We start from the raw sequence: 12,216 nt of genomic DNA, 5'->3' as shown, positions 1-12,216 counted from the left end.
AAAAAGACTGGTAAGTTAATGATTGTTCCGAAGGGTCTGAACTATTGAGCTCATTTTTAAAAATTTATACTGGAAAGAAATAAGGGAATTGAAAGCTTTGGGTTATTTTGCAATAATCATTGCAGACACTGGAAAATTGCTTATAAAATAAACAGAAGGTGTGATGAACATCTTACACAAAAAATGGGAGTTAACCTAAATGCAAATATTAATAGCTAGTCTTTTGTTTCTCTCTCTTTCTCTCTTTCAGTTTTAAACATTTATAAATTGATAGTCTCTACTTCTCATCTCCTCATTATTTTGATTTTGATTTTGATTCTTAGGGTGCTTCTTTTTAACAGTGATTTCTATTCTTCTGAGTTGGAGGCTACAGCTGTTCTCATCAGACAAATGACTTCTTTCCCTGGTAGGCAACCTAGTAGCTGATGCTCCCACTACAAAATTGTCAGAGATCCTCTCTTTCTCAGATATCCTGTGTCTGCCCAATTCTAAAGCTACCTTCAGGCAAAAGTTAAAGGCAAATATAACTCTAAGCACTCTACAATCAAGATATAATATGTATGTAAACAAAATAATCTTGATCTAGTCATTTTCTATCCGGTAATTTTATCTGTTTTTAAGACAACTAAATTTTATAGAGTAAACACCATCTCTGTAATAGTTCAGTCTATTTTTTCCACTCTGGATTTATAATTAAAGTAAAACTTCACCTGAGAAAAAGATGAAACAGTCATACTCTTCTCAACTAATATTCTCAGGTTCCAAAAATAAATTATTTCAGTGTCTCCTATCTCCCCCATAAGATGGTAACTACTGATGTTGAGTCTCAATGAGATGTGTTTCCACAAGATCTATTTTTAAATTATTTTAAATCTATTTTTATTATAAAATGTAACAGAAAAATTTTAAATTCATGACCATTCATATTTGCTCCCTCTCACCTGCCCAATAAATACCCATGAGCATTTTCCTTTGCCAGACTAACTCCTGGGTCATTTTTCTGCATATCACAATAAAGAGTAACAAGCAGATATTGTGACGTCAGAAAGGCTAGCACAATATACACGGGAGTAAACAGAGAGTGTCTGGCAAGTGTTAGCTACAGGAAAAGCAAAGGTGTTATGGTCTGAATTGTGTTCCCCCCAAAATCCATACGTTGAAGTTCCAACTCCCAGTACCTTAAAATATGACCATATTTGGAGATAGGGCCTCAAAGCATGAGATGAAGTTAAAGTGAGGTCATTGAGGGGTCACCATAATTCATTATGACTGGTGTCCCTTTAGGAAGAGGAGATTAGGACACAGACACACACAGAGGGAAGACCATGGGAAGACACAGAGGGAAGATGGCCATGGAAAAGCTAGAGAGAGAGAGTTCTCAGAAGAAGTAACTCTGCCAACACCTTGATCTCAGATTTCTAGCCTCCAAAGGTGGGAAAAAAATTAGTTTCTATTATTTATGCCACCTACTGTTTGGTACTTTGTTATGGCAGACTTAGTAAACAAATACAGAAGGAAAAATTCAAGATGGCCTCTTGTAGGTTGTGATCTGTGGGGTAGCTTAGGGGAGCCTAGAGGAGGAAGGACTGAAATGTTAGAAGCAGCTGTCTTGTGGTGTACAGTTCAGGATTGAGGAAGAATGAAGACTGTAAAGCAGTTTAATGGGTATTAGATATGTAAACCTTGTTGGATTTTGTTGTTCTTGAGAAGAGGCTCAGTAAAAATTTACTTTTAAATTATTTTTGTATATCAAATAATAAATGTTGTTTTAGCTAGTACTGAGATTTTAAAAACCACCAAGCTGCTTAATTTAAGGTATCACTAAGGTGTGCCATTCAGTGCCTATTTATGTGGCAAAATCTTTAAATATATTACCTTTTATCATTACAAAGAAAGGAATGTATTCTTATTCCTAGGCCAATAGATGTGAAATGACTTGTCCAAGTTTACCAAAAAATTAAGCACCAGTGCTGAAATTTAACCTAGATCAATCTTACTGTAATAATTGAATTCTTTCTAGGTTATACCATGCAGTTTCTCAAAACTATTTCAAGGACATGTTGGAAGGAACTGGAGGTTGCAGTTGACTCTGTTGTAGCCTTGCCAGCATACGTTTTCTGGACTGAAAGCACCTGTCTCTCACTTTCTGTGAGTGTTAGTGGGAACAGTTGCAGTTATATTCTTTTTAGAATTGACCTAAATAAAAGGGAGACATTTTGCTTCAGTGTAGGATGACTCTAAACATTCCTGAGCTAGAACTCCCTATGGGAGGAGACAGAGGCTAGATTTTATCTGCATGTACATCTTCATAAGCTTCTTCCCTTCTATTTGTCTCACTTGCTTTTATGTTTCACCTAAGCACAGTACCTTAATAAGTGGCTAGCACAAGAATCCCCATTCAGGGCAAAGCTTCTAGGAAATCTGACCTACAACTGGATTATAGTAACTAGCTAAATAACAATATGACTAAAGCTTATTATGGGTAAATATTTGATGATAAACAACAAGAAGGAAGAAAGCCTCTGTCATTTGATGAGTAGTTAAGTGTGCATTAAATCACAAAGAAATGATAGTTGAAGGGAGATAACCTAGAAAAAAATTGTTTATTGGGATCTACAGTGTTATGAAGGTAATTAAATGCATTTTAGCACAGATCTGTGCAGTTTTTGACAGTGTACATTGTGTGGTACACAAATGTCACAGGCTTTTTATGTGTCAGGACAATTTTTGGTTGCAAGTGACCGAACCTCAATTCAAATAAACTTAGTCCAAAAGAGAATTTATTGGTCTTTTTGTCTGCGAATTTGAGGGCAAGGTTTATTGTAGACATAGTTGGACCTAGGATATCTCAACTACTTATTCTATCTCTTGACTTTGTTTGGCTTTATTCTACACACATTTGATATAAAGATGCCTGTGTAAAGGTAACTTTTCTAATGCTCAGGAAAGGTTCTAATGGGTTTTGGCTATATCATTTGTTAGTTTTTAAATATGTACTGTGTCCATGGTATCTGGTGTTTTCATTGAACAACCTGAGTACTGTGTCTATCATTGTGATAGGAAGGGGTGGATATATAACTGAGAGTATAACTGTGGCTGCATAGAGTAGGGAGAAGTTCCCAGTAAAGCCACAAAGACATAATATTTATTAGGCAGACGAAAATAGTTCTACAATAGTCTACTAGTGATAATATTAGTGACACATGAAAAAGGTAGTGAGGTCCAATTTGTTTGGAAAATGCAAAATTAATCAAATTAGGATACACTTATAATTGTATATCTCTTACGTTATTTAAAATGATAATGGAAATTTTGAATTTCCATGATGGATATATATCATACTTTATTTTACTAAAGTTATTTGACCTTGGGATCTATTTTTCATGAAGTATTTCATGGAATCCCATCAGACTTGGGTTCAAAGTCAGATGCCTCTACTATGTAACTTAGGAAAATTAGTTAAATTCTCTGGGACTCAGTTTCTTCAGCTATAAAACAGGAATAACTAAATGCTCTTAACAAATTTATTATGAGGATTAAAATAAAATGTATTAAAGATGCCTGGTTCTATGAAAGCAGTTTGTGTTGGGCCAAATGATATCAATTCAGAGACCACTGCATGCCTCTCCAAAGTATTAAATTGTTTTCTGAAAATGGGATTAAAGTACTTTTATAGTTTCGTTTGTTTGTTTTTTAGCAAGCTGATGAAAGGTAAATTTGGTGTTGATGAGGAATAATTTATGGGTTGGGTATAAGTTGAATTGGATTTGAGATGGCAAGGAAAAAAGGAGCCAGAGATATGAAGGACAGTTGGGAGGTTATTGTAATAAATTGTGAATTGATGGACACCTGAACCAAGGGAACATAAGGCAATAATGTATAACTATTAAGAAAAAACCATAAAAAAGATTAGAAGACTTTCAGAATGACCCAATTCAGCAGTTTACCATGAGAATTTTATTTTCCAAATAGTCTATTTAATTGAATAATGATGGGGGCTAAAAGTTGTGCAAGGTGTCCTCCTTTCCTCTAGGTTAATAAAATAATATACTGTGAAATACAATAAAATTGTAAAAACTTAGTCATCATCAGTAAAATCTTCCTTCATATACAGTTATTCATTTTACACTTTTCATACTTCTGTTAATAGAGTGTGATGTAAAATAGGGCTTTTACATTACATGTTGAACAGTTCAGAATAGTCCTGTTTTAATATATGGACTTAGGTAAAATGTCACATGCAGTAATGATCACACTTGAGACAATATTACAAAATTAATTAACCTGCTTTAAAATGTTTTAGCAGAATGATAACCATACAAAAAGTGAAGATTCCTCAAATATGAAAATACATTTCGAGGATTAGAGGTAGAAATTGAGAAAAAAGAAATTGGATTTAATATCTGAAGAACATTCCTATTGATTTATTTAATAGACTTAATAGAGATAAAAATTTACCTATATTCATATGTTATAAAATATACTAGAAATAAATTCAGAAAATTATCTTATTTATTGACAGATTTAAAAAACATTATAAAGTATAATAGGAATTAACTAATTTTCTTCAATTCATTAATAAGAAAGAATAAAAATAAAGGGAAATACCTCTGAATTCCAGAACACAACTGCTTCCAATTAGTTTTTAAAATTACTGCTTTCTTAGGTAACATATTTTTGGTTGCAAAAAAAAGGAAAACAAAACCTTGAGCTAACAAGCAATGTCAAAGAATCAAAGGAAGAAGTATCAAAAATCAAAGGCTTCAGAATGAGCAGAAAGCTGGACAATTCTGTAGTTTGTGAAGTTACACTATAAAGGTGACTCAGCTTCCAGGTTTAACCTGCTGTACCAATCAATTTTTTTATTTGGGGAGGTAATAAAATTGGCCCAACTTGGGTTAGATGTCAACCTTAATTCAATCATCTATGACCAAGAACTGGGGTCTTGTCATAAAGGGATCTATCTTCTCATAGAAGAGACACTGTGCAGATTCCCCATAGGCATTAATAACTAGGACATTTGTTAAACCAACGACGCAAGAACTTCATCTTTAAACAAAATTAGCACCGAAAAAAATATACCTGAATATACTATCCTTAAAAAAAATCCTGATCTTTGCTTGAGCCCAGGGGTTCGAGGTTGCGGTGAGCTATGATTGCACCACTGCGCTCCAGCCTGGGTGACAGAGTGAGACCCTGTCTCTTAAAAACAAACAAACAAACAAAAACTCGATCTTAACCCTCTCTGTGTTTTCCTAGGTAAACTTGATAGACTAAATTTATTTACTGAGGAATCACTTTGAGCAGTCTCTGTTTGGAAAAAGAAAGAAGATGTAGCACAATGTTTTGTACTAAAATCTTGCTGTTTTTGTTGACTTGTTACTGGAACTATTTTTTTTAATGTTTAAATGTAATCTTACATAAAATCCCAGTTTAAACAACCAATAAAAACGGAGTTGCTTTGATGGATATAGGGAGGGATGGCGCTGAATTCATATTTGCTTTGAGTCTCTACTTGCTCCTTATAGTGGCCCCTGAAGTTTCTTTTCAGAGACCCATATCAATGCAGAATACGATCTGAAAATCACTAGCATATTAGAAAAAAGATAAAAACATAAGATTTGGGATCAGAGTTTTATAAAATGATGACTCTGGTACATACTAACTCTAAAACAGGTTAAATCACTTAAATTCTGCAAACCTTCATTTCTTCAGCTGAAAACTATAGATAATACTGATGGCATCTAACTCACAAGGTTGATGTATTAAATAAGTCACCTGAAGTAAACCATGCAATGCTGTACACTGTTAATTGATGCTGTAATTAGGATCTATTACCCCACCCTCTGAGGAAATAGTTCCTTTAAGAGCCAGTTCCTTTAAGAGCCTGTCTGGTCCCCCAGAGACCACATGCTTAATGATTTCAACAGTCCCCTCTTTGAAATAATTATGTTCACCTCCAAGGATATATTAATCAGTGACAACCTATGTATTAACAAAACACCTGCTATTCAATTATTTTTACATCATATAGCTTACTCCAAATATGTTGGTGGTTATTTATCTTGTTCTGTGGTCTTAGAAGAGTGTGAAGAGTGAACATAAGCAGAGAGAATGTACATTAAGTCACTGATTTGACAACATCTAGGAGCCAGCACAAGCCAGTGTGAGTAGCAGACTCAGTCTCCCTTTAGTGCCAAGCAGAAGATTACTCATGGAGATAGAGTAGAGCACCTGGGAGAAATGGATTCTGAGGAAACAGGAGTATCGCCTTGATATTATTCCCTTGAGTGTGATTATAAACCATGAAATGAGTGACAGACAAAAACTGCTTAAGTTGAGGCATATATTTTCACTGTATTTTGGATGCTGCTACTCTGACAATGTATTTTAAGCCCAGTATTCTTTCTTCTTTTTTTGTTCTTTTTTTTTTCTTTAAATTCTCATTCACTTGTGTGAAAGCTGCTCTTCTCAAGACTGAAGCTTTTCTGTAGTAATGTCTGCTTAGATTTGAATCTACTAGGGCCTTGGCACATACAGCTAGAATGCTCTATTTTTAAAGATATATTGTGTCTGTTAATACAAAGGTCATGATGTAGATTTTTGCACTTAGAATCAGCATGAGAATGTGGAACTGTTCCTTGCAGATCTTGGCTCCATCAGCAAATAAATTAAAATAAACTGGAGGCTTGAAATAGAAATAATCCTCCTTCCAAGTGTTTCATTTAGAGAATGACATCCTGTTTTCTCCAGAATATCATGGGTAATTCTGCATATGAATGAATTTGGGAATAGAAAAAGCCCAGCAAATGAAACACACAAAATGACTTTTAGAATTTTAGGCTTCAGTAATAAAAATAAGTGATGATGGTTTTCTCTTTAAAGTGTGAAGGGTAAAAGGAAACCCAAAACTTAGTTACATAAAGTTTTAGAGTATTATAACTATTTGTGAAAGCAAACAATAAGTTAAATTCTACCTGTAAGAGAATATAGTATATATTTAAGACAATTTTGACACAATTCGGCTGTCACAGAAGTCAGACCAGCTTTCTGATTACAGTCACAAGTGACTGGACCTAAACATCACTCACGTGGAAAACTCTGATTAGCCTCTCAATGGAGCCTGACAGGGCTTTAACTCATGTTCAAAGTAACTGTTGTCAATGTCACAAAAAAGCCTTAGTTTGCTAATAAAACCCTATTAGTAAAAAAAGAAATACAAAAAGTACAGGAATATATATTAAATCGAAAAATAAATTTTCGGTCATCTTAAATATAGATCCCTTCCATTATGTCACTGCTAAAATTGACCCAGTAGCTGCAGCAATTTTGGCCCATGCGTATCCCTAGTGCCCTTATGTTGAATTTTACTACTATTTAAAATGAAGCAAGAGCTTAGTTACATTGCTGTCTTTGGTAAATAAAAAAGCAGGAAGAATCTCCAATATCTTTATATTGCCTGGAATAAAATAATTTTTTTAGACTTAGCATCCTTTCAGGAAACTTTATGAGAGTTCACAATGGAAATATCATGGCAATTTTTGTATCAGGATGATGAGGATGATGATGATAAATGAACAAATCTGTAACATCCACACGTTTATGTGAAATTAATGTCAGATACTGACCAGATGATCCTCAAACTTTTTCCTTTTCTTGGGCACTGTGAAAATATGTTTTGTAACCCTTTTGATTACCCGGGGTCATATGACTTATTCCCACCAATGAATTCTGAGCACAAGTGATATGTCGCTTCTGATGTGAGGCAGTTAAGAGCTGTGCTTCAATTTATTTCCCCGTTCTTTTGACTGGGTGTCACCATTTTGAATTTGAAGCCATGTATTACAGATGGCCAAGCTTCAGTCATCCTGTGTCTCTGAATGACTGCACAAATTTTAACCTTTTCTTCCTACTTTTGGGGACTATTTGTTTTTTGACATAAATGAATAATAAACATTTACATTGCTACTCCTTTAAGGTTTGAGGGTTATTACATAGCCAACTTACCCACTATGACTTGTACCTCCTCATACTTGATAATAAAAAATAGAAGTAACTGTGATACAAAAATAAGAAAGACAGGGTAAAGGCAGGAACCAGCAAATGCTGGCAACTGACTATAACATTAGTTGTTTTAGAAGCTATCATAACTATACCAGGGAAAAGAAGAACCTGATGAGTTCTGGTAATATCAGTTACATGTGACAGATTGTACTGGGTCCAACAGTTAATAAGCATTGGTTGTCACAAACAGTGACCAAATAGAAAAAAATAAATGTTTACATATTATGATCAATGTGTTTCTTTAGCCAATGTCTTAAAAAAGGAGAACTGATAGTGAAGATACAAGTCCTCATCGCCTAGGACATTAATTTTCTCAATGATATTAATTGTCATAACATACTGATGAGGGATGCATACATTTTTAATGATACTGGCAGAACAGGTCAACATATCATGATTTTGGGGCACTGGATTTTGTAATGCTTGTAAAACAAGATTTTGAATCAATGCTATACATTTGGGGACTCAAAGTAGGTTTCCAAAATTAAAAAACATGAATGCTCTAAAAAACTAATTAACAAATTAATTAACTTAACAAATATTTGTTTATTTATTGAGCACTTATTGTCAGACCCTGTTTGGGATCTGAAAGTGGTACCTACATTACATTTTAATAAGTTTAACTATTAAAATGAATCTCAGCCTGATGGCAAGTGTTTTGCATCTTCAAAGGAAAGTAATCCTAATGCTAAATCCTGATCAAGAATCAATGGATGGAGCCAGGTGCGGTGGCTCATGCCTATAATCCCAACACTTTGGGAGGCCGAGGCAGGTGGATCACTTGAGGCAGGGAGTTTGAGACCAGCCTGACCAACATGGAGAAACCCTGTCTCTACTAAAAGTACAAATTATCCAGGCGTGGTGGAACATGCCTGTAATCCCAGCTACTCGGGAGGCTGAGGCAGGAGAATCACTTGAACCCAGGAGCGGAGGTTACGGTGAGCCAAGATCACGCCATTGCACTCCAGCCTAGGCAACAAGAGCGAAACTCCATCTCAAAAAAAAAAGAATCAATGAATGATCTTGACAAGTTTGATTTGTTACCCTTTTAGCTTCACTTCTAGTAATATATTGCAGACCTCCTATAAAGTATTCCTCAATTAAAGTTTTCTAATACATAAAATTTGTAGATAATGCTTAAATATTTAAAAAAATTTGGACTTCAATATTTTGTTCATTTGATCTGCTCTTATGCCAAATCCATGGAGATCTGGCAACATGACTCCATATTTTTTTGCAATTCTGCCTTCTAACAAGTACTAAGTTAAAATAAACATAGCATTCTTTGTTCATGCTGTATCAAGCAGATTGTACTCAGGTACCAAAATTATTCATGATTAAACCTCTGATTGGTAGATTGTAGCTATACTCAATTGGCATATCCTCCAAGAGAGATTACTTGAAACAGTATAAGATTTAAGTGCAAAATTATACAGGCTGCTTTCCTAAATTTGAGTTATCTACATTAGCTTGTTTTAATTTCAGCTCTTGCAATACAGCACTTCTCCTGAGGCAGGGGGCCAAGAAGCTACATCTGAGATGTTGCAAAGACTCCTGATGCAATTACTGTTTGGATAAATGCTACATTACTTCATTTGTGTACTTTAAGTAAACTGGGTCTATTCAGTGTTCTATGAGTCTTCTTTCTAATTTCTAACCCAGGACAAATTGAAATTCAGTCAGTCCTTGTGTAAGGCACAGGATTTATATTTAATGTATCAAACAAAGTAAAAAATATGTATGTATCTATTTCTTTCTGGAAAACAATTATGGGCATTAACAAACCCATGTATAACTGTATGCTACTTTCCCAATTAAAATATTCCCAAAGGTTCTCCCTTTCTTGATGGTGATTAGCCGTGAAATAAAAGGATAACTTGTCCTCACTAACCCCTAGCTCATAAATGACTGTGGAAAATGTGGTCTACGATGTTTGTACTACTAACTAAACTTAATCCACCTTCTTCCTTCCCTTACTCCCTCTCCCTCTTTTTCTATCTTACCTTCTCTTCCACATTTGTCTCTCTCAACCAGTCTTTCTTTTGTTTTTTTCTATCCGTCTCTCTATGCAAGCCACCAGCAATAGGGATTTTAGATGTATTTTTATCACAGGCAAATTATATTAGAGATTGATTACTGCTTTTTATATAAATTACTGGTAAATGCTTATTATTAGTATGATTTTAGACAGAGTCTTCTTCTGTCCAGGCTGGAGTGCAGTGGTGCGATCTCAGCTCACTGCAACCTCCGCCTCCCAGGTTCAAGCGATTCTTCTGCCTCAGCATCCCCAGTAGCTGTGACTACAGGCGCGCACTACCATGCCCAGCTAAATTTTGTATTTTTAGTAGAGACGGGGTTTCACTATTTTGGCCAGGATGGTCTCAATCTCTTGACCTCGTGATCCGCCGGCCTCAGCCTCCAAAAGTGCTGGGATTACAGGCGTGAGCCACCGTGCCCAGCGGTAAATGCTAATTATTGGTTGGATTTCACTTTGCAGAGAAATTATAGTTCTATAAGACAGGAGAGTCTGTTTCAATCACAGTTTACACATAATCTTCTGAGTTAATTTTATAACTTAAATTATTCCTGCATCAACACAGGATTTGAGTTAATTTCAGCTTCAATATTTGCAATAATAAAATGTAAGATATGTAAAGGGGAGAGAATATTATATAAAAATTCCAGTGTAATATGGCTTCAATATCAATATACCCTGTTTCCCAGATGTAAAACTAAAAAAAAAAAATCATTCAATGATGAAAGCAAGTATATATCTTTTTGTTAACAGAGGAAAAAGAATTTTGCTTCTATTCAATTATAGAAGTATGATATTTTATGTAAAGAACATACATCTGCAATCTCTTTATACCTATTTCCTATACTGAGCTGCATGAGTATTGAAATATAATCCAGAAAAACGTCAGGATGTTAAAATAATATGGTTCAGGTATGAAGGTGAAAATAGGAGTACCATTTAGGAAAAGGTAGGACAATTGATGCTTATTACTTTTTAAAAATTTTTTGAAATACTGATTGTTTTAGTTTTTGGTCAATAGCTGTATACAGTAATAATCTCTCAAAATCAATATCTTGGTTAATACTTATATTCTGAGTGATTTTTGTATTTTATTTGGTTTTCTTTTTAATAATAACCCTATCAAGCAAAACAGCTATTAGCCCCTTTGTAAAAATGAAGAAGCTGAGGCACAGTCACATAACTTGCCCAGTCACCCAGCCAAGAAGGGGTAGAGCTAGAGTTTAATACCAGTCTGGCTCCAGCCCTATTTCCCCAGATTCTTGTGTTATAATGAATCATTAGGATCTAGGCAAGTACATGTCCTGGTTATTGTTTGATGAGTGATCCCTGTGATTTTACAGAGGCAAAGAAAATGAAGTCATAAAATCGGGAACCTGCATTTGCTTCCAGGAATTGTCAACATCCTTTAACCTGAAGAACTGTTTCAAAGGGACGTGTGGAGTTGGCCAGAACTATCCTTAAGCAGTACTTTATATTTATCCAGATAATTAGCTGAAACCTTCAATTTTCATGTCATAGATTTAATAGATAATTTAGTCTTTAAAATTCTAAAGCTAGTGTTAGACATTAGCTAGTTTAATTGAGATAGAAATTAATTAAGCTGACTAACTTAGGGCTGCCATAAAATGTTAGCTATAAAGAGTTCTGCCCCCACTCCCAGGTTATTGAATAAATTATCTTACATAGTCCTTTCTAAGACTGTAGTCAAAATTATTATGTGAAGTTTTATAAGCAATAATACTAGGCTATTTTTCCGTTATTCATTTTCTTGTCAAGCAATTACTTTTAACTGATTTTTAAACAATTTTTAATCAGTGGACTCCAGAAAAGAAATGGTTTTAGTTTTCTCCAATCATAACCTTTTACCATGTTGGTGAATTTCCTTTTTTTTTTTTTTCTTCATTCCTAAATGACCACTTTGGAAAATCCTTAGATTTTAATTTCTTTCAATTTTTATAAATTTCAATTGGGTCTAGTCTTTTGAAAAATTCCAATTCCATATTCAGTTGAAAGCTTTGTGACCTCTTCCTTTTCCATCCAAAGTTGTTTAAACTTGTACTCATATGACCCGGAATACAGATAAGTCATCCTCTGGGATAATTAAATGTCTTCAC

At 34.5% G+C, this 12,216-nt stretch overlaps 1 long non-coding RNA gene across 2 annotated transcripts; it reads left to right on the top strand.

The window, feature by feature from the left end:
• The first annotated feature begins 1,391 nt into the window (after positions 1-1,391).
• LOC105375477 (uncharacterized) lies at positions 1,392-11,950 on the top strand. Of its 2 annotated transcripts, XR_927915.1 has the most exons (3): positions 1,392-1,431; positions 2,021-2,148; positions 11,443-11,950. It is a non-coding gene; the product is annotated as an uncharacterized LOC105375477 (long non-coding RNA). The 2 variants fall into 2 exon arrangements; XR_927914.1 differs by lacking the exon at positions 11,443-11,950 and having other exon boundaries at positions 2,021-2,217.
• Positions 11,951-12,216: the final 266 nt, after the last annotated feature.

This window comes from Homo sapiens, chromosome 7, assembly GCF_000001405.40.
Source record: "Homo sapiens chromosome 7, GRCh38.p14 Primary Assembly".
Classification (NCBI taxonomy): Eukaryota; Metazoa; Chordata; class Mammalia; order Primates; family Hominidae; genus Homo; species Homo sapiens.
The sequence above is the reverse complement of the archived record's forward strand: the minus strand, read 5'-3'. Positions and strand labels throughout refer to the sequence as shown.